This window comes from Homo sapiens, chromosome 5 (assembly GCF_000001405.40).
Source record: "Homo sapiens chromosome 5, GRCh38.p14 Primary Assembly".
Classification (NCBI taxonomy): domain Eukaryota; kingdom Metazoa; phylum Chordata; class Mammalia; order Primates; family Hominidae; genus Homo; species Homo sapiens.
The window spans coordinates 13,863,327-13,886,970 of NC_000005.10; the positions used below are offsets into that span (position 1 = coordinate 13,863,327).

The window sequence follows — 23,644 nt, forward strand, 5'->3', positions numbered from 1 at the left end:
CATTTGCCTACTGAACTTCCCTGCTGAGATGTTTCAAGGAAACCCCAAACACAGTCTGTGAAATATCAGACTCATGTCCCTAATCAAGACCATGATCTTTGCACCTTGTCACCCAATCTGATCACCTTCCCATGTTCCCCATCTCTGTGGTCAGCACCTTCATCCACTTAGGTCTCTCAGCAAGAAATCTAGAGTTCATCTTTAGCCCTCCCCTTCCTTCTCCTACCATGTTCCCTTCATCACCGAATTCTCCTCAAATATCCCTGATCCTTTCTCTCCTCTCCAGCTTTACTACTTCCCCTCTCATCTAACAAGCCATCATTTCTTGCCTGAGCTACTCTTAGAAACTCTCAGTTGGTTTTTCCATCATTCTTCCCTTGTCCTCCTTCAATTATTTCTCCAAAGATCACTACCAGAGTGATCCTTACAAACGGTCAACCTAACCATGTCAGCCCCTGCTGAAAACACACCTCCCAGCTGGTGCCCATTGCTCGATAACATCATGTAGGCCCACTCCACCTCCCTGGCCTCTGCTGTCTCCTCTCTGCCCTGCCTCCACGCCTCAGCCACATGGGCCTTCTTCTGGTTCCTCAAACACACTTCAGATGCTCCATGCATAATGCACCATCTGCCTGGAATGGCCTTCTTTGCACTTTCCAAGCCCCTCACCCCAACCACACAACCACACTCCCTTCACCCAGCCAGTCCTACGCATGCATCCTAGTCCTCCCTAGCTTTATCACCCCCAGGTGAACCAAACTCATCTACCATAGGCTTTCACAGAACAACATACATTTTATTCAATGGTATTTGCCACAGCTTATAACTGTGCCTTTATTTGTAAAATTATTTAATAATCTGTAAATGCAGGACTGCATTGTTATATCCTGATGCAGAATCTGTCCCATCTTAGGCCAAATAAGCATTTGTTGAAGGAACTAGTGGCTGAATGCCAGGAGAAGAGTTTCAATTGTCTGAGTGTAGTTTACTGATCCAATATTCCATAATATAGAAATGTTATCAAATAAATCCCATGAGACCTTGCAATCTTCCATCACATCATACTCTACCTCTATTTCCTCTTTATATTTCAGAAGAGGTGCCTCCATGATATTTCTTAACTTAAAGCTTTCATTCCCCACATCCAGACTGTGCCCGGTGAGGGTGGTTATCCTTTCCCAGTGCCGCTCCATCATGGCTTTACTGGCCATGTATTCCAGCAGCGGGCAACACTCGCTGAAATCATCAATGATCTTCTTCAGGTCCAAAAAAGCCTGCCAGTCCTTCAAGGCCCGGGGAAGCTTTCGACATCTGTGAAGGGACACCAACATGAAAGGCCATTGAAATATGATGGTAGACATCACTGGACCAAGACGGTCTGCTAGTATTTCTATTAAAAACAGTCTCTTTGAATACTTATCCTATTTTAAATCCCATGACTTGCAGGCTGTCTGTTCATATAATATACAGATGACTTTTATATTACAGAAAATTGTCCTCTCCATTAGAAAAGATTTTTTCCAACCCTTCACAACTATTACCTAGTTAGAGGCATTATTTTAGAGCGTAGAGGTGCTGCTCAAGCTAATTCAATTCTACAAACATGTACTGAGAACTTACTAAGCACAAAGCATAGCAAAGTGTATCAGGCTGTGAAGTGAAATATGCAACAAATAGCTCTTTTTTTTTTTTTTTTTTTTTGAGACGGAGTATAGCTCTGTGCAGTGGTGCAATCTCCGCCCACTGCAACCTCCACCTCCTGGGTTCAAGCGATTCTCCTGCCTCAGCCTCCCGAGTAGCTGGGATTACAGGTACGTGCCGCCATGCCCAGCTAATTTTTGTATTTTTAATAGAGATGGGGTTTCACCATGTTGGCCAGGATAGTCTCAATCTCCTGACCTCGTGATCTGCCCACCTCAGCCTCCCAAAGTGCTGGGATTACAGGCATGAGCTACTGCACCCAGCCAGCTCTCCATTTTCTTTAAATTCAAGAGCTACAACAATACAGAAAAATCATGGGCCCCTGCTTTTGTTCCAGATGATAATCTGACATTAACTTCAAATGTTTCATAAGTGTAATATAAATAAAAATCAGCTCCCACCAAGCTGCAGAAAAGCCCCTAACATGACTCATCCTGATAGACAGAATGTGCTTGTCTCATTGTGTACACACAGGAGTAATTAATAAATAGCATTTGACAAGAGTGATGTCAATGGACAAGAACAATGCAGCAAGATGTGCTTTTGAAATAGCTGGGGTGAAAAGAGAACTTGGCTGCCTATCAAAGAGGAAAGCATTTGAAGTTCAATTGCTGGGCATGCTAAACATTTAATTTCTTACCTGTTCTGGAATTCTAAGAGTTCATTGTTAATTTTTTCAATATTCACCTCTGACCAAAGAATATCATAATAGCTATTTACAGTTTCTATGACACTGTTGTACAGAGTATATATTTTCTGTAGAAGATTTAGTTGCTTCTTTATTTCAAGAAGCTGAGGATACTGTGTAGCTGGCAGGCCAAAAAGCTCCTCTCCTCCAGTATATGTGATGTATTTCCGATAGATATTATCAAATTGATTCTAATAAAAACACAAGTGAAAACGCATCAAAATGATTTATACATGATCAACATACAAATGAAAATATAAGATTTGCAAACAAGCAAGCCAGAGATGTATGATCTCTGGGCACATGTAAATAGGAATACTAAGTTGGCATAATTAATTCATAGAAACTACTTCTAATTGTAATCCTACAATATCGTATTTTTAATGCAAGTACATACCATATTCCACAATAGGGCCCTCTATCTTACAAAGAAGAAAACATATGTGTGTTTAAAACACAACAAAGTTTCATTGTTTAGAAAGTCATAGAAACTAAAAAGATTACCTGAAACATGATAAGCCTGTCACTGGCTTCCTGGGGCTTCAAGCCGCTAGCCATTGGACCATTCTGAACAAAAAGTAAAAAAAGAAAAATAGAAGGAAGTGTTTGCATATAAATTTCATGAACTCAATCCATATTTAAATATTAAAGTTAGGTTTCATGCATGATAGGAAACTTCATTTTTATTTGTTAGAAAAAAAGGGCCTCACAAAGTGATTCATTTAGACATATGTTTCTAGTCTAAAAAAGCCAAATTAATGCCAGAACTTCCCTTAGTCAAGAAACTTTTAAGATTAAAAATATGTATTATTCATTTCTTAGGTAACACAGGGAAAGAGGAGTCAATGCCTGTTCTATAAGAAGCACATATAAAGTCTGCTTTTCAGCTAAATGCTAATATCATATAACTCATAGATTTTTATCATTCTAATACCCACTTGTAAAGTGGCCTATAATCTTAACATTCCAATCAGATTTTCCAACATTAGAAAATCTTAAATATGTGGATTTCTGTGCTTCTTCATCCATGGCGTTGGTACATGGGTCCAATCTTCTAACTTGATTAATTTTGTGGTTTATTGTGCTACTAGTTAATGGGTACAAATTTTACCCTAAACTCTATATATTTCCCTTCTCCAGCATATTATAATTGCCTGGAGATGGGTCTCATTACACAACATATTTACATTAGAAGATTCAGTACTTAAACCTATATGGATAATTAAAATATGGACTCCGTGGGGGCAAGGCTTGATCTGTCTTATCCACTACTGTGTAGTCAGCACCAAGGACAGCGCCCGGCAATTGCTGAGCTCTGTGTTATTTGTGTAACCAAGGAACGCTGTGGAAAGGAGGACAATTATAACTGCATGCGAATAGTACTTTTCTACACAAATTTAGAATGCTACCAAACAACTTCAGTAACAGACCAAATTATACACTGTTAGCCCTTTTAAATTTATCATTTTCTGTTGAAATTATTATGTATGAAATCCGATTTGGTTAGGCTTTCCATCCCCACCCAAATCTCATCTTGAATTGTAATCCCCATAATCTCCATAATCCCCACGTCTCAAGGGAGAGACTAGGTGGAGGTAACTGAATCATGGGAGCGGTTTTCCCCATGCTGTTCTCTCAGTAGTGAGTTCTCATGAGATCCGATGGTTTTAAAAGGAGCTCTTCCCTCTTCGCTCAGCATTCTCCTTCCTGTTGCCTTGTGAAGAAGGTGCCTTGCTTCCCCTTTGCCTTCCACCATGATTGTAAGTTTCGTGAGGCCTCCCAAGCCATGCTGAACTGTGAGTCAATTAAACCTCTCTCCTTTCTAAATTACCCAGTCTCGAGCAGTTCTTTATAGCAGTGTGAAAACAGACTAATAGAAACTCTAAGGGGAAAGAATTGTGAAAAAAAATGTTTTTCTCTCATGAAAATAAAATTCCCATTCCCTGGGAATTCCTAGGAAGTTTCACAGAAATTTACCCATAATTTTTAGACAACTACATTTTGCATGTTGTATTCACTCATCCCCGAAAACGCACACAGAGAAAGCCAGAGACATACCAAATCATAGTCCAGATAAAACTGGTGACAATCTTGGAGGAATACCTCCACAGCACTAATAAGCTCTTTCTTGAAACTGGGCTGCAGTGAGACTAATTTATTCTGGACTTCGCCAGCACGTGCCAGCAGCTTCTCCCAAGCATAGTGCAGTGTATCAACTTTGTCTATCTCTTCCCTTGCTATCAGAAGTCCATATCTGTTAAGCAGGGCATAAGATTCCTAAAAAAAAATAGGAAAAACTTAATTTTGGCCAGTCAGATGCATAAATCTACACACAGCCATTTATTAAATGATAAGAATGGAAAATACCAGAATAATAGTGAAACTACCCTGAGAGTTCTAGTTATTCTACTTCAAACCGCAAGAGGTTAACTGTGCAACTGAGCTGTTCAGCTATAGTTTCCTCATCTATAAAATGGGAAAATCTTCTGGCTACTTCACAGGATCTTTGAGACTATTGAAAAATGTCATTTTAAATGCATTTTGAAAACCATAAACCATTAGACAAATAAAAGATATTTTTACTTAGGCCCCCAAATTGTATTTGATCACTACAAAATTCTATCAAGTAAATAAAAAACAAAATAATTTAACTTCTAATATTAGAATAACAAAATCAATCAGGGTTTTAACTCTGTCTTATTTCACGTGATCGATAAGAGGTTCCAATAGTAAGACACAAGGGAGGATTCTTGAATCAGAGCCTGGGCCAAGTCATTCCCTTCAGCATGTAAAATCCTGGATGGCTTTCTTCTCTAAAAGGTTAAAATGAGGCTAAGGTTGGTTTTCATAAGAAAGAATTTTCTCTAAATATCTCTAGTCTCTTCTCCCACCATTACTCCTCCCCATAGAGGTGGAATGAGTGCCTGATTATTAATTTGGGGGAAAACATTGTTGATCTGAGCAAGGATAGCCCAGTGCCTTTCTCTCTCTTCCCTCCCTCTCCGTGGAGGCATGCCTGTGGTCAGCACCTCAGTGCCATAAACTGGATCAGGGTAATACCAAGACCTACAGCTTTCCAACACTGCCTCTGATGGATGAGGAAGTATAATAATCCTGGGATTTAGTGTTCACTAGCTCATAATGTGTGTGTGTGTGTCTGGGGGTATGAAAGGGAGGGGAATAACTGGAGTAATACACTAAGTTATGTCTTCCGAATAACTTCCATCAGGCATAAAGGTGATGTTTTGATCTTGTCTACTTGATTCTACTTTTGTTCTTAATTCCTAGGTGGGAGAAAATAGGATTGTCAGTTACTGTACCTCCTCTTCATACTTGAGGGTATCCCCTGATCCTGCACAAAGAAATGTCTCTTTGCCTTGATGTTTCAACCCAAGGAGAGCAGGTTGGACCATGTGATCCCCCTGGCCCAACACAGCAGAAGTGAAAATGTGTAGTAGTCTGTACCATTCTCATGGTAATGTGAAAATTTTCAAAATTCAAACAGGGATGCAGAAAATGGGAGAATAGAGTCTGATCTCGACCATCAGAGTATAAGCCCAGACATTCCAGTTATAGTGTGATGAAAAGATGATGATTTTACAACTGGAGTTTTTTTTAATGCTACAATTAAACTAGTCTCATTTAAAAATAACAAATATAGTGACCCACTTCTGATAAGACATTTTCATCTGGAGGTTAACAGCACCCCCTGACCCCACGGTGCCTCCATGGCTGAGAAGTGCTTTTCCTTAACGTCTCCACTCTTGGGTCTTTGTCAACAATCACAAGTGGCAAATAAGATTTAAAGACATGCACCAACAATTATGATTATGGAAAGTTATTAATGATATTAATAATTCACACTCTTACTCATTTCTAATGATGATATAAATATTACAAGATGAATAAAAATGGAATTCAAAATTACACACACATACACAGACATTAAAAGGAGCTGGAAAGAAATATACCAACCTCTTGGTATGTACTTGATTGACAATATTATGGTAATTCTGAAGTTTTGTTTTATACAATCGTTTTGTGTTTTCTAATTTTTCTACAATGCTACTTTTTAATTAGGGAAAAAAGAGTTTGTTTGTTTGTTTGTTTGTTTTAAAAAAAAGGCTGTTGCTAAGACTGATTTTGCTGGTGGCCTAACATGAGATTTCTAAGGAGACTCCTTAGAAAGAGATGATGTTTACTCAAGTGAATCTATTCAAGGGTGTCTGCTTGTAATGAAATCAACTGTCTTTTTTGCCATTGCTTAAATTACACTATGTATGTTGATAATATTATAACTAATAAGTAAATAAAAGCAGACTTCACTGCAAAAAAAAGACATTTTCATCTGGAAAAGATAGTATGATATGGTATACAAATAAAAGTGATGTGCAACACTGATCAAATTACATAATTTCTTCGACCCTCAGTTTCCTTATGTGAGGAGTAGGAGCCATAGTAAGGATGAAATGAGTTACTGCATATATGGACACTGTTAACGCCCCATCCAGGTCCCGATTACCAGCTGGTATTCCCATCCCCGACTACTGAGAGTGCTGGCTATAAGGACTGCAGCTGTCCCTTCCCTGGAAGATTTTTCTCAGCTGAATGTGAGCCTTCTCATGGGGAGGTTATAGCCCATTTCCTACTGACTTAGGAGTAGAAAGGGTAGTCTCCTTTGCATGAAGGAGGGCCCAACTCAATTGATGTTGTAGAGTGCCCATGGGATCAGGCTGAAGTTAGTCCATAGCTGATTGACTTCCTTTCCTGATTCCCTCGCCCCTCTTCTTTGGTGAGCACTCACCAATAAATCATTTGCACAGAAATCTTTATCTCAGGCTCTGCTTTGAAGGACCTTAGGCGACATGTGAAGGTGAAAACTGGCCCATGGAAGGCAATGCTATAGGGGTTCGGTATCATCAACAATATTGAAATTATTGTCTTGGTTTAGTAACCATTTAGTAACTTCACTCCAGACCCAGTCAATATTTCAGCTAATAGCATCCAACATGTAGAAATATTTCTATAATGAACAAATGATCATTAGTTACCTCAATAGGTCCTACTTGAAAGTCAATGGAGATTTGCTCCTCCCTTATTTCTTTCAGCGCTGCCATTGCAATCCGAATATCATCTAGGTCCTTAATTGGACGATTTAGTTTCTTATTGAATTCTTCAATAAGCATAAAAATGTTTTCCATCTCACTCCGGTATTTTTTGTTACAGTGGCGTCCAATGACAACCATCCAGGCCTTTGTCTCAGCAGTCAGGGCGAACTTCAAGTCAGCTGTAAAAACCCAAATGTCTACAGTTCAGTTTTAAAAACTCGAATCAGTACGAAAAGTCAAACTGTCGCTGTTCTCCAGTAGTAAATATTTTATAGCTTATTGCCCTCTAACCCACAAAAAATTGAACTGGAAAAAATCATAATTTTTCCTACTCATTATATATTCATTCATTTTTTAAAGTTTGTTTTTACAACAACTCAACACACATTTCAAAATGTTTTTTTAAAAAAGCACATATCAGAACTCTCTGGGATAAGCCTCAAAGGTTTGTTATTGTTATTTATTAAACAAAGGGTAAATTTTAATTCAAAATATAACAGACATCTCCTTTCTCTGACTTAGTCTTTTTTTCAAGGTTTAGCAGCAAAGTGTGCAAAATAGTCCAGAATCAATAATTATGCAGAAGAAAATTTTTTAAAAATCCACAAATTGGTTTTAAAGCTTGAGGCCCATAAAGTCAATCTTTAAGACAGGTAGAACTCTCTGGAATACAAATCTAGGTAAAGAGGCAGAACAATAATGGCTAATTTATATAACTATATGAAAGAAAATGAACCAACCTGTGTACAGAGCAATGGAACCCACACAGACATATTCAGGCTCAGCATTAATTTCCTGCTCTAGGTTTTGGAAATAGAGAATCTGGGACTCAAATTCAGAAAGCAAGGGGCTCTGTGTAATAAATGTCTTAATGGCTTCTTCTTTTCCCTTTTGCCAAATGTGATTGTAGCGTTTGAAGCAATCCATGGATGTAATAACTTCCTGAATGCAAATAACAGATTTATGTTAAGAAGGAAGAATCTGAAAGGCACAATGATATAAGTGAATATTTACCAACTGCTGGTGGTTCCTATGGATTTATTAAAATGTTTAGTGAACTGTGTGATTATCTGGAAATGCCAAAGAACTGGGACTATATACAATAGTGTGGACAGTAGCCCAGGGCTAGTAACAGTTTCACTGTTATCATCCCTAGCTAAATGGGAGAGGAGCAGTTTCTAGAAACTAGATGACAGTTCTTGAAGATCCTGTGGACAGGGCCCTCTTGGTTGGAGCTGGGCCTTAGATCAAAAACCACAGCTCAAGCTCACACTACAGGGAAGGTGCTATGAAAAACATACTCTGAGGTCATTCTCCTCTTTCCCCCCTCCCCTCAGATCTCCTCCAAGATTCTTCATTGACTGAACCCACTGGAAGCCTCAATGGGAATCTACTGACATGTTGCCTAAGGTCAGATAGGTGGAGGGAATGGAGATTAGATCTTAGGGGCATGAAGGACAAACAGAAAATAGCGAGCATCACTTCAATGAGAGATTGCCTGGAATCACATAAAATGTATAATTCATATAACTAGAATTGACATCTGAACAATACTACATCTAACCAACCAGGAACATAGTGCATGTTTCCATATCTTGTCATCTTTTTCAAAAATTCCTTAAGTTTTAGCATAATCTTCATAGAGACCCCAGATACTTCTTATTATACATGTTTCTAGGTATTTTTCAATGCTGTTGTCATTGTAAACAAGATATTTTCCACTATTATTATAACTGGCTATGAATGGCATATACATTTTTTTAAATTTATTTGTAAATCAACAGTCTAGTTTGCTAACCAAGTATGCATCTGTAAAGATGAAATGACTCTCTGGCAATTGGTAAATAGGGGACAGTGCTGACATAATGCAGAGGTCATGTTTTCAAATGCTATTTTTCCCAGCAAAACAAATGCTACTGCTTTGTACCAGCTAAAGCAGCAAGTCACAGAGGAGTACAGTCCTGTGTGCCACTCCCCCTCCATCACTTCTTCCTTTTGGATTGATTTGGCTACCACCTGTCTTAAGAATATCTTTGCATATGGTTCTCACTCATAAGTTAGTGCTAAAAAAAAAAGTGTTTGCATGGACATACAGAGCAGAATGATAGATAATAGAGACTCAGAAGAGTCAGATTTCTCATCAACTTCAGAAGGGAGGGCTATGAGAAATTCACTAACAGATACAATGTACATTATTTGGGTGATGGATACCCTAAAATCCCTGACTTGGCCACTATGCAATCTATACATACAGCACAATTGCACATGTATCCTATAAATTTGTACAAATAAAAATAGATAAATAAATAAATACCAATCAAAGCAGAAAGAACAACAAAGAAAGAATGTTCTTTGTAGAGTTTGGCCTGATTTTTGTAGAGTTTATCTTTGCTTCTATGCCTCCACAATCTCTTCCTTTTCCCACTTCTACCAAGCTTCTTTCATCTTTTATAGTAAAGTTCTGTAATTACTATAGTGTTATTAAATATGTGAATATTTCACTAAGATTGTTACTGTTACTATTTTACTATGATTATTATTGTTTTATTTATTACCCTGGTTACAAATTGCCTAGATTTTGTGTCTGCCTCAATCTTGTTTTTCTCATCATCCCTATTATTTAATATTAAATATGCAACTTCTCAAAACAGGACGATTTTCAGGAACATGTTTATTGTATTCTATGAAAAATTCATATAATTATCTTTCCATTGGTGACTAACTTAACTCTTGTTGGGCCACAATTTCTTTTTTAGATTAGCCTCTTGGATTTACTTGGCAGACAATTGTATCATCTACAAATAATTAAAATTTTGTCTTTTTTTATTTAATTACTATTTATTTATTTATTTATTTTTGTAGAGACGAGATCTCACTGTGTTACCCAAGCTGGTCTCAAACTCCTGGCTTCAAGTGATCCTCTCATCTCGGCCTCCTAAAGTGCTGAGATTACAAACATGAGCCACGGCGCCTAGCCAAAAAATTTGTCTCTTCATTTCTAATTCCTTTGTGAATCAAGTTTTTCCACTGCCTTATATTATGATTTCAGAGTTACATCTGCATGAAAAACAAATTTAGCTGATAAAGAATAAACAGTGCAATTATCTGAAATAACTGAGCATTACAGGATTCTAAATGGTCTGATTATTTTAAGTAAATTGCACCAAGCTGCACCAAACCAAGAAGCAGTTCCACTCCAGCTCCCCACATACAGCTAAAATGTCCCTCCGAGCCTCAGGTTCAATGGATGTTGATACTTCCCATCCATTAAAATGCAGAAAGCTAAACCTATCACTGCCTATCCCAACCACAAATGATTCGTTTGCATGACCTGAAGTGTTGACATGCAGACCAAGAATGCATTGCAATAGCATGTAGACATATTCACATATGTATGATGGTTTGAAGAATTAATTACAGATTATTGAAGATTCCCAGAAATGGATAGAAGTTCCAGAATCCAGAGCTCTCTCACCACCCAAGCTTATAATATTAAGAATATACCCTAACTAAATATGTTGGAGGGTATTCTTTTAAAGTGTCTGTCTTTATTAAATTGGAACTTTTTCACATGAAGGTAACCTAGACCTTGAAAGGAAAATGACCTCAGTAGGAAAATTAGATGAACTACATATGTAGAGTTGTTCTGATTATGTAACCAAGGTTATTTTGATTGTTTGGTCCAGCTCAACGTTTCTATATTTTTTTTTTCGAGACAAAGTCCCGCTCTGTCACCCAGGCTAGAGTGCAGTGGCACCATCTCAGCTCACTGCAACCTCTGCCTTCTAGATTCAGGCAAATCTTATGCCTCAGCCTAATGAGTAGCTGGGATTATAGACATCTGCCACCATGCCTAGCTAATTTTTGTGTTTTTAGTGGAAACATAGTTTTACCATATTGGCTAGGCTGGTCTCAAACTCCCAGCCTCAAGTGATCCCCCACCTTGGCCTCTCAAAGTGCTGACATTACAGACATGGGCCACTACATCCAGCCTCAGCTCATCCTTTTAAGCCAGGTTGTGTTAGAAGTTGATGACCAACCTATGGGCATGCTAAAGGCAGGTCAGGTTTACATTCTAATCCAATCAGCTATAGCAACAGGAAAGGGGCAGGGATCATAGGACTTTCTGTGGTTGAGGCAGAATCATTCAGAAAGGTCTATGGCTGTGGAGGGCTGGCTATATCTAATACTATGACTAAGTGTACATATATTCTCCCAGAAACAATTTGGCTATCCTATAAATCTGGAATAAGTTCTTCAAGTTGTTATAAATGCCAACCTTTTCTACTATTTTAAGGAAAACTAATATCTGAGCATTTCCTTCATATAAAGTAAAAGCAAATGCAATAAAAGTGACACAGAGGCCGGGCACGGTGGCTCACGACTGTAATCCCAGCACTTTGGGAGGCCAAGGCAGGTGGATCACCTGAGGTCAGGAGTTTGAGACCAGCTTGACCAACATGGTAAAACCCTGTCTCTACTAAAAATACAAAATTAGCCCAGTGTGGTGGTGCATGCCTCTAATCCCAGCTACTCAGGAGGCTGAGACAGGAGAATCGCTTGAACCTGGGATGCAGAGGTTGCAGTGAGCCAAGATTGCACCATTGCACTCCAGCCTAGGCAGCAAGAGTGAAACTCCTTCAAAAAAAAAAAAAAAAAAAAAGACACAGAGATAAGTATTTTGTGGCCAGCACTGTATGTTAACTATGATTTCTTCCTCTTAGATTTTCATAATAGTGGTTGATCATACTAGAGAAACTAGTGGATCTTATTGCTGATTTATTTTCTTTTATTTTCTAGGAATACTGAGACACTTGAAAATATTTCTGAATGTTTATTGTTATCATGAAATACTTTGCTTATCATTCAGTATAGAGCTTAATAATCTAAGTACTAGATAAATATTTATTGAGTTACCTGAATACTGTCTCTAGGGGAAAATTAAATACAGGACCTTCAATATATTAAGAAAGGAAAATTAAAAGTCCATAAATGCAAAAGATTTCCAGTTCCCTTGGGAACACATTAAAACTAAACTTAATAATATTTCCTCACATTGTTACAGCAATGGTAGCTTTTCAGAGTGCTTTCAAATGAACGTAACTCATTGTATCAAAACTGAGTAATAGAAAAAATGCACTTACTGAGCAACAACTATTCCTTAAACACTGGGAAACATTATTAACAAGTCAACAAGTCTTACTGGCCATGTGAATTAGAAGAGTTTTTTTAAAAAATAAAAGATGATTTCAGGGTTTTAAATCTTTTTGTCTGTAAAATAGATTTGCATGAACAAAAAAGGGGAAGTTGAGAGGGGAGTATGCTGAAAGAAAAAATTGCCTTGAATGTACATTCATGTCCAGTTCAAGTTTGTATTGATAGTACTAATATCTTCTTTATTCTCAGTTTCATCTAATTTCTATGTGGCAATATAAATAAATTTTTATCTGATATTTTATAACATTTGCCCGACTACTCAAATATGAAAAAATGACTACAAACCTTATTCTATTTCAAATATGTTAGTATCACTGGTTCTTTGAAGGTGAATTATAACAACAGTCTGACTTGTAGTTTGGAACATATTAGATTTTTTAAGTTAGATTCATTTGTATTAAAAGAATATATTAAAAGCATTAAACAAAACACAATATGAGAGTAGGAATAATTTTTTTTCACCTTGCAATCTAGAATGAAAGATCTTCAGTTAGACAAACATTTGCTGAGCACATACAAGATGCTCCCTGAAAGCACAGTGTGTGAGACCCAGGCTACATAAAGGACAACTTTGTGATGTTCACTTTCACACAAGTGCATGTTGCAAAGCAAAAGGTCCGGCTGCCAGACCCTCTTGACATACCTTTTTGGTGGAGTTGATAATTGTGCTAAGCACAGAAACTAATTTTACAATCTCTTTGTTTTCAGAAACATTCTTATAATAGTTCTTGGTTTGCACGGGAATGGGTAAATTTACAGATGCTATCTCCAAGGTATCTAAAAAGAAAAAAAGAAGAGAAAACTTTACACTACTCACACAAGAATGTACTTTCAGGAGATGAGGATATTTCTGTGATAGTAAAGCAAGGACTTCTGAAAATCTTCTCCTTTATAAAAACAATGAAAATAATGGAAAGAGTTGTCAATGTCAACTTTTCAGGACTCTGTAAATTAATCAAAGCTTGCAATAATCCAAAAAGTGTTTATTCAAGAACAATGCTAAATCTTGGTAACAACAGCAAGTTTTGTGGTGTTTTGACTTGCTCTAGTCCCACTGCCGCTCTCTGGCTATAGGGTAGCCTTGAAAAACAGCAGCCTTACAACCATTATAACTGGAGGAAAAAAACCTACCAGTAGCCTAGCAGTCCCTGGAAGGGCCAGCCTGGGCTTGGAGCTCCTTAGGGAGCTCCATAGAATTCTCACTCTTTGAGCTGTCTGGGAGCTCCCTGGAAAAGCCCTGTTCAAACAGTTTATTTTTATTTGACCTGACTCAGAGCTCTCTGAGAAAAAAAGTCCTATCCTCATGGCATTTGTCAAAAGACTATCAGCAACAATTGCTTAACTTCACAGCTACCTGAGGCAATGATATTAGTTGGGGGCAAATAAGAGGTTGGCCAAAAAAGTTAAAACTCTGGGAAAGGAGAAGAATGAAGTCAGCAACATGGCTGAATAAGAATATCCTGGCTCTCCCTCCACCCATGGACACACCCAATACACATCTATTCTCAGATCAATTCCATCTGAGAGAAAGTCAGAGACCAGTGGAGAGACTCCTGCTTATGTTATAACCAAAAACATATCCGCATCAAAGGGCAGGAAAAGTGGAGACACACTTGGACATGGATCCTGCTCCAGGCACTGAACCAGAGAATTGGGAAAGGAATCTGCAACACACAGTTTCTCTCTGTGGAAATGAGGCTTTGGACCTCACATGTATCACCATAACTCTTAAGGTTCCCCATGGCTTGGCTCTTAATTCACCAATTCTGAGAGTGGAGTGGATTAGACACACAAGAGTCTCTCTGGACCACAAGAAAAAAGTGATGGCTTTACACAGGCATGAAGCACTTACAGAGGCTTCATTCTGTGGAAGTTGTGCAGAGACGGGGCTTTAAAACCATGGCCCCTTGTTTCTCTCTCACATCAAGTGCCCCAACATTTACAGCTGCCACCCAAGGGACTACATTCTAAAACTCCTATCTCTGGGAGCAGACGGGACTGGCATTTGTGTGTCTCTCTAGACCACAGGAAGAAGCGGCCATTTAATATGAGCACACAAGCACTTCAACAGGCTTTATCCCCCAGGAGCAGTGCAGAGAAGGGGCTTAAAAAACACAGTCTTCTGTTTCTGTCCAGAAGGGGTTAATGCTATGCACTGAGTGCCCCAACTTCTGCAGCCACCTCCCAAAGGACTCAATCCTAAACCTCTTAGCTACGTGAAGAAAGGGCATTAGGCATATGTGAATTTCCCCAGATCACAAAACAGAAAGGAAGTTTCAATGGACATGGAAACACTACCAGGGGCTACACCCCCTCAGAACAATGCAGAAAAGGATCAAGAATGTGCAGCTTCCATTTTCTTTCTGGGAAGGGGCTTCTGGCACCCCCCCGCCTAGTGTCTACTTGATGGCCTGGCTTCTAAAAACTGTACATCAGAGAGCTAATGAGGCAAACAAACAGGAGCCCTCCAGCAGCTGGAGCCACAGCTGAGCACTTCATGAGTGTTCCCTCTGGCTCCCCTAGTGATAAGCCTAGGCCTAGCCATTCTTTCTGGAAGGAGCTACGACACGCACCAAGTGCCATAACTTCTATAGCTCCTACCCAAAGGACTGTCTCTTTAATGATCTAGCTAGCTCTGGGAGTCAGTGGGTCTTTGCACTTTTGAGTAGCCAGAGACCATGGAAAACAACGAGGTGGATGTACAATGGGCCAACTTCCATCAGTTATCTCGCCAGAATCAGAGGATGCAGCCTGAACATGATGGCAGGCATTTGCCACAGATCCTCTCTCTGGCTTAATGCAGAGAACTGAAGATAAATGCCTGTGCTCAGCTTCACTGTGAAGACAGAAAAAATTGGAGCATGCATTCAACACTCCAACATTTCCAGCTACATCTAGAGAATCTAGCTCCTACCTTACCAGTCTTAGGGGTACTGACAGGACATATCATATCTGAATCTCCAGGGTAGGGGGGACAAAAAATAGAGACAGCAGTCTGGACAAACACTAAGATTAGAGAGGCATCTTGAAATCTCTGGTTAGTCGAAATAGTGAGATCCTCCCACATGAGGTCAGTCTGACAAGACTGAAAGAGGTAGCTGTCTTTTATAATACACAGAAACCAACACAGAGGGTCAAAGAAAATGAACAAAAACAGGGAAATACAGTTCAAATAAAATAACCAAATAAATCTCCAGAAACTGTTCTGAGTGAAGTGGACATATATGATTTATCTGACAGGGAATTCAAAATACAGATGCTCCTTGACCTATGATGAAGTTACATCCCAATAAATCCATCATAAGTCAAAAATATCCTAAGTCAATAATGCACTTAATACCCTAGTAAGCCTATTGTAAAGTTAAAAATCTGTAAGTCAAACTATTCTAAGTACAGATGCTCTTTGACTTACTATAAAGTTACTTCCTGATAACCCCATTATAAAGTCAAAAAAAATGTGAAGCCAAACCATTGTAAGTCAGGGACCATCTGTAATATTCATAAAGATCCTCACCAATATCAAGAGAGAAATGCAAAAACAAACTGAGAACTTCAACAAAGACAGAAAGTATAAAAAAGCACCAAACAGCAAACATAAAACTGAAGAATGATGTAACTGAACACAAAAATTTAATAGTTTCCACAGAAGACTAGATCAAGCAGAAGTAGAAAAAAAAACAGTGGATTCAAAGAGAGGTCACTGAAAATCATCCAATCTGAGGAGCAAAAAATAAAAAGAATGAAAAAGAATGAAGATATCTTAACAGACTTATGGGACACCATCAAGAGGAACAACTTATGCATTATTGGCTTGCCAGAAAGAGAAAAGAAAGACAGAGGAAACATACTCAGAGAAATAATGGCAAAAACTTCCAAGCCTGGGGGAGGAAATAGAAAGCCAGCTCCAGGAAGCCCAAAGGACATTAAATAAGATTAATTCAAAAACACTCACACCAAGACACATTATAATCAAATTGTCAATAGCTAAAGATAAAGAGTGTTGAAAGTAGCAAGGGAAAAGTGTTTCATTGTATGTAAGGGAACACTCATAAGACTATCAGTAGATTTCTTAGCAGAAGCCTTGCAGGTTAGAAAGGAGTGAAGTGATATATTCAAAATACTGAAAGAAAATAACTGCTAAGAATACTATATCAAGCAATTCTAGCTTTCAAAAACAAAGGGATGGTATAAACTTTCTCATACAAACAAAAGCTGAGAGAGTTTATCACCACAAGACCCATCTTGCAGGAAATGCTAAATGGAGATTAAGCTGAAGGAAGAAGATGCTTATTAGTAACATGAAAACATATGAAAATATAATACCTCACTCATAAAAGTAAGTATATTGGCAAATCCAAAACACTCTAATACTGTAATGGTGGTGGGTAAATCATTAATATTTCCAGTAAAAAAGTTAAGAGGCAAAACTACTAAAAACAACTAGAGCTACACAAATTTATTAAGGGATACAAATTATAAAAAGATGTAAAATGTGACACCAAAAACTTAAAATGTATGAGGTGGGGAGTAAAAGTATAGAATTTGTATATGCAATCAAAACTATGTTGTTACCAACTTAAAATAGCCTATAATTAGTATAAGATGTTTTATGTAAGCCTCAGGGTAAACATAAAGCAAAAGGCCATAAGAGATACATAAAAGAAAAAAAAAGATCCAAAATATATCACTAGAGAAAGCTATCAAACCACAAAGGAAGAAATAAACAAAGGGTCTACAAAACAACCAGAAAACAATTAACAAAAAGGCAAGAGTAAGTCTGTACCTATCAACAATTACTTTAAATGTAAATGTATTAAATACTCCAATCAAAAGGCATAGAGTGGCCAAATGAACTAAAAGACCACAAAAAAAGACCCAACTGCATGCTGCTTACAAGAGACTCATTCCACCTTAAAGTTCACTCACAGATTGAAAGTGAAGGGATGAAAAAATAAAGTTCATATAAATGAAAAAACAAAATAGACTTAACATCAAAAAGTGTAAAAAGAGACAAAGATCATCATATAATAAAAAGGGAATAAATTCTTCAAAATTATATTATAATCGTAAATACATATACACCCAACATTGGAGCATATAACTATATAAAGTAAATATTAAGAGATCTGAAGAGAGACACAGACTAGAACACAATAATAGTAGGGGATTTTAGTACCCTACTTTCATCACTGAACAGATCATCTAAACAGAAAATCAATAAAGAAATATTAGACTTGAACTACACTTTAGACCAAATATACCTAACAGACAGAATATTCCATCTAACAGAACAGCATATACATTCTTCTCGAGTGCACACAGAACATTCTCTCTATGGTAGATCATATGTTAGACACAAAATGAGTCTTAACAAACTTAAGATCAAATTACAACAAATTTGATCTTATAACAAATTATAACAAATCTTCCAAACCAAGCGTATGAAACTAGAAATCAGGAAAAAAATCAAACAGGAAAAACCATGCAAATGTTTTAAATATGTGAAAATAAAACAATATGCTTCTGAAAAAAACTTCTCAAATCAGGTCAAAGAAGTAATTAGATGACAAATTTCAAAATATCCTGAGACAAATGAGAATGGAAACATGACATATCAAAATTTATTGGATGCAGCAAAAGCAGTTCTAAGAGGAAACGGTATAGCAAAATAAACAGCTAAGTCAAAAAAGGAGAGAGATCTCAAATACATAACCTAAAATTACAACTCAAAGAACTAGAAAAAGGAGAACAGACAAGCCCAAAGTTAGCAGAAGGGAGGAAATAAAGATCAGAGCATAAACAAATGAAATAGAAACTAGAAAAACAATAGAAAAGATCAACAAAACAAAAAGTTGGTTTTCTGAAAAGCTACACAAAGTTGACAAATCCTTAGCTAGACTAAGTAAAAAAGAGGACTCAAGTAAATAAAATCACAAATGAAAGGAGATATTACTACTGATAACCCAAAAATACAAATTATCATGAGAATGCTAAGAACAATTTTGTGCCAACCTAGAAGAAATGAATAAATTCCTAGAAACATATAATTAACCTACCAAGATGGAATCAAGAAGAAATTGAAAATCTGAACAGACCTATAGTAAGAAAGAAGATCAAATCAGTAATTTAAAGTCTACAATCAAAAAAAGCCTACCACCAGATGGTTGCATAGCTAAATTCTACCAAACATTTAAAGAACTAATACCAATATTTCTCTAGCACTTCAAAAAATTAAAGAGAAGGGAATACTTCCAAACTCATTTTACAAGGCCAGCATTACCCCGATACCAAAGCTAGACACATACACTACAATTTAAAAAAAAAAAAAAACTACAGGCCAATATCACTGGTGGACATAAATGCAAAAATTCTCAACAAAATCCTAGCAAATTATATTCAACAGTGCATTAAAAGATCATTCATCATGATTAAGTGAAATTTATCCCCTGGATGCAAGATTGGTTCAATATATGCAAATCAATAAATGTGATCCACCATAACAGAAGTCAACTAAAATGGTGATATTAAAATACGTGGACCTTGATATTTTGTCAACTTCAAATTGGCTCATAGATTAATATTCTGATGTAAAATAAATTGAGAATTACATGGAGGGGTTAAAAAACATTTAAGCTCAATGAATGTTGATTTACAATGCCTCTTTTAAAAGACTAAAAGAACATTTACCTTGAAGTTCATTTTCTCCCATTTCAACATCAGAATCACTGTCTTCATTACTCTGCAAAGCAGCCATTTTTCTTTCTTGTATCTTTTTCTACAATGTAAAAGGATATTTTTCAGTTCTGTCCTATCTGTAAAAGAAGTGGTTTCCATATGAAACCATTTCTGCACCCCATACCCACCTTGGACAACAGTTCACTGCTCCACTGTCTGACCCCCTTAGGGACACTGATGATGCACTCCACGGCTTTGTTCAGGGTCTGCTGTACATCTTCCAGGGCAGGGGCCATGACGATGTTGGGAATGGCCAGAGTGACGCTTGCCCGGAAAATGGGCAAACTGTTCTGCTTCATGTTAGAGGCACTGTTACTGTCTGAGTTAACCCAAAACAAGGAAGAATTCACATTTTTAATACAAAATAAGATTTGCTTCCTTTGTAACCATAAAAATTAAAACAATACATAATAGGTATAAAATCTAATAAATATTTGTTGAATGAATGAGTCAATTAAAACTAATGGAGGATCTAGTATTGCTCAATATAACAAAGCAGTTCAGGGGAACCCAAGGCATTTTTTGCTGTTTACAGCTTCTTGGAATACTCTCCACAATGAAACCCACTGTGTGGGATCAGGCTAAATTATAAACACTTCTGTAAAATATTAAAGATGATTCTTCCAAATAACAAGATGCCAACAAATTAGCTAAATGTAGCTAAGTAAGCCAGGAATGAAGAACAAGACTATCGGCATAAGCCAAAGTTAGAACAAATAACCACTTTGGAATTTCAGATAAATCATAGGCCTTTCCTACCATGGTGTGTAAAATCCAAATGTGGAGCAGTTAAAAAAATGGAAAAGAAATAAAGTGTAATTCGCCATTCATACTGAAGGAGCTTTTAAGGTTGAACATAGGTATAGGTATGTAGATACAGACATGTATGTATATGTGTCTGTGTATCATGCATAACTTTACGTAGTTGCAAATATCTGTAATAGAAAAGCTGGGAAATAATTGTGATTGAATATTTAGCCTATCAGCCAACATTTATTAAGTTCTAATAATAACGCTGTGCCAAAGAAAAGAACTATTCTCCATCCTGAATGAAGTAAAACATAATAAGCCATGGCACCAAACAAAAAAAAAATCTTTCAGAGTTTCCACTTTTATTTACCCACTTTTAATTAAATATTGAAGATGCTTTCCTTTAAATGTCAATATTCAAAATATATTTAAAAATTTTATTATCCTATTATTTCAGTTTTCATTAATTACTATTATTTGTTTTCTTTTTACCATTTTTAACTTAAAATTTAATTTCAGGATGCCTCTAGATTTGACAGATTTTTGTGGCCCACCTGAGAAATACAACACCTATTTCTGAACTGTGCCGAGGAAAAGATGATGCTATTGAAAATGAGGAAACCACCTGGAAAGTACTAAATTAGCATAAAAATAGTAAAATACATATATATCCTTTGAAGAGTGTGACACTAGTAAGATGTTTCCACTTTGTAAGACTGGCTAACAAACCTAATGATTTAACAATGAAAGAATCGTTTCCATATAACTTCCTTTAAAGTATGTATTTTTTTCTTTCACCAATTAAAATAATTTTATATTTTTTCATCTTATTACAAAAAGATTAAACGTACTACCAATTTTCATGTTATTAACAAAAACTTAAGCAAACTATTTAACCTCCCTGTGCTGTGCTCTAGTTCTCTGATTTAACATGAGAGTAGTAATAGTATCTACTTAATAGAATTGTTGGGATGATCAAAGTTCATAATGTTTAAAATTACGAGAAGGCACTAAATAAACGGTGGATATGGCCAAGTGCGGTGGCTCACGCCTGTAATCCCAACACTTTGGGAGGCCGGGGCGGGCGGATCACCTGAGCTCAGGAGTTCGCCACCAGCGTGCCCAACATAGTGAAACCCTGTCTCTACTAAAATACAAAAAATTAGCCAGGCGTGGCGGCGTGCGCCTATAGTCCCAGCTACTTGGGAGGCTAAGCTGGAGAATCACTTGAACCCAGGAGATGAAGGTTGCAGTGAGCTGAGATCGTGCCGCTACCCTCCAACCTGGTCGACAGGGCGAGACTCCATCTCAAAAAATAAAAATTTAAAAAAAGATGAATATTTTTAATTATTTAAATTTAACAGGAATGTACATGCACGTGCACACGTGCACACACACACACACACACATACCCCAGCAACTATGCCTGATCATCCACTAAGCAAACCACACAAGATTATTACCCCGGAAGTTAATTGTGTGAGAGGAATGAATACGTTTGCGAATGGCCTCTAGTGTATTCCTTGTAACTTTCAGAAGAGCATCCATGTTCTGATGGTTGAAATGAGAGAGTAACTCGCGGGCTTCTTCCCCTAACATCTCAGTTTCTTTCTTTTTCCTCGTGACTGTCGTCAAAAGCAGGGCATTGGCCCTGGCATTAATAGATGATGTCAAGGTGTCAAAATTTCCTTCTTCTCTTTTTGCTGTTACAAGATGAAAGAGATAGAGATAGAGATAAGTTAGATGGATGGATGGATAGATAGACAGATAGATAGACAGATAGATAGAATCATCTGTTGCAATTAAAGGATAAATTACATGCAAGTTTAGTATCACTTAAACATCACACTTCTTAGGAAGTGAGGACATCAAAAAGTAGGAGGAAATCAGGAACCAGAGGGACTGATGGAAGCATCTCCTTCTCAATACAAGAAAACAGCCAACAAGAGAGGCAGGAGCTATGGCTGGAAAAGCTACAGTGGCCCCCAAGGACCTGGGTTCTGGTGCTACCTCCCACCAATAACCCTAAAACTTTGGGGGGATAATTTCCCTTCTTCACATCCACATCTCTCTGTTCTCCTCTGTCCTGCAAAAGGTGCGCTCAGTCTAGAGGCTCTCCAAGGGGAATTCCAGTCAATAATCCATCCAACTCTATTGATAAGGTAAAATAAAACACCCACCCACACATAAATGCAAAGAAAGCTAACCAGGGCCAATGCAAAGTGCATGTTTGCAAAGTTTAACCAAAAATAGTAGGAATTAACAACATAGAGTCACTAAAATATGCTCAGGGCCATAATTTCAGATTTATACATATCATTAGAAAATCGAGAGGATGTTTATAGAAGTATGAAATTAATTGGTATGTAGAAAATGCAGTTTTAGTTTTTAGTAAATGTCATAGAAAAACAAGACCCTTTCATTACCCCATCTCTTACCTGAACTTTCATTTTTGTAATTAACACTATTCTCATTGGATATTTTTTCACTTTCTTCTTCAGATAAAACTTCCACATCCAGCAACATATTTACAAGCTCATTGACTGCCTCCTCCACTAATGAGCTTTTAAAATGTAGTATTTGTGCACCATTTACACAAAGATCCTAACCAAAAAAAAAAAAAAAAAAAGATAGCACAGTGGTATATGGTTTATCTAGCTTTTGAGAGCACAGAAACAGTGGTAGCAATGCTGTGGCTCAGCCTCCAGGTGAGATTTCAGCCCCAGTGATGCTTGGCCACATCCTTCACAATAGCACAGGCCAGGTGTCCTCTAAAGGAATGTGTTTAGGACAAGAGAACCCACTGGATCAGTGTAGATGGACCAAAATTACAGGCACTTCTCCACCAGTAGAGAAAATATCTTCAAAAGCCATCAGCAGCCTCTCTACTCGTCACATTTCCTTCATATCACATAAATCGGATCCAGCCACCCTTCTTTCTCTCCTTGTTTTTGCCAACAAACCATAGTCATCCCCTCATTAATTTCAAAGACACTACCCACCCTTCTAACTATATTGTGCATTTCTCAAGAATGGATTTAATAAATATAAACTAACATGATTTGAGGCATGGTGATCAATTCTGGAGGAGATTAGGTAGACAGATAGTTATAGATGGATGATATAGACAGAATCAGTGATTTACCACCTGGTTGGAAAGTAAGCCCATGAAACAACAGACTGTCAGTTAGGCACAGTGTCCAGCTCCATTCCAAGTTCCAGCATTATACATCTTTAAACTTATACGGCTTGAAAACTAGGATTCAAATCCTTGCTCTGCATGATCCTGAAAATTCTTTTCAGTCTCAATTCCCTCATATGTATAATGGTGATATAGTAGAACTCACTGTAGTTTTTGCAAGTATTCCATAAAATAAATGCAAGTAAAATACTAAGAGCAGTGCCTGGCATAAAGTAAGCACACAAGAAGTGCTTGTTATTATTA

At 37.3% G+C, this 23,644-nt stretch overlaps 1 protein-coding gene and 1 long non-coding RNA gene across 13 annotated transcripts in view; one reads left to right on the plus strand and one right to left on the minus strand.

Moving 5' to 3' along the window:
- DNAH5 (dynein axonemal heavy chain 5) overlaps positions 1-23,644 on the minus strand; it is a 321,491-nt gene that overhangs the window by 172,999 nt on the left and 124,848 nt on the right. For all 12 annotated transcript variants that reach the window (XR_001742034.2, XR_001742035.2, XM_017009177.2 and 9 more), the window contains 11 exons: positions 22,638-22,803; positions 21,663-21,902; positions 19,578-19,768; positions 19,402-19,489; positions 13,358-13,491; positions 8,238-8,439; positions 7,441-7,676; positions 4,448-4,666; positions 2,894-2,956; positions 2,342-2,580; positions 1,071-1,311 (listed from right to left, as the gene is read on the minus strand). Coding sequence is in view for 10 of the 12 variants with exons in the window: in XM_017009177.2 (XP_016864666.1) it covers positions 1,071-1,311; positions 2,342-2,580; positions 2,894-2,956; positions 4,448-4,666; positions 7,441-7,676; positions 8,238-8,439; positions 13,358-13,491; positions 19,402-19,489; positions 19,578-19,768; positions 21,663-21,902; positions 22,638-22,803 (2,019 nt within the window). In the remaining 2 variants the exon portion in view is untranslated. The remainder of the gene's footprint in view (positions 1-1,070; positions 1,312-2,341; positions 2,581-2,893; positions 2,957-4,447; positions 4,667-7,440; positions 7,677-8,237; positions 8,440-13,357; positions 13,492-19,401; positions 19,490-19,577; positions 19,769-21,662; positions 21,903-22,637; positions 22,804-23,644) is intronic.
- The window catches only part of DNAH5-AS1 (DNAH5 antisense RNA 1), a 40,614-nt gene that overhangs the window by 2,888 nt on the left and 14,082 nt on the right, over positions 1-23,644 (plus strand). The window lies entirely within an intron of this gene.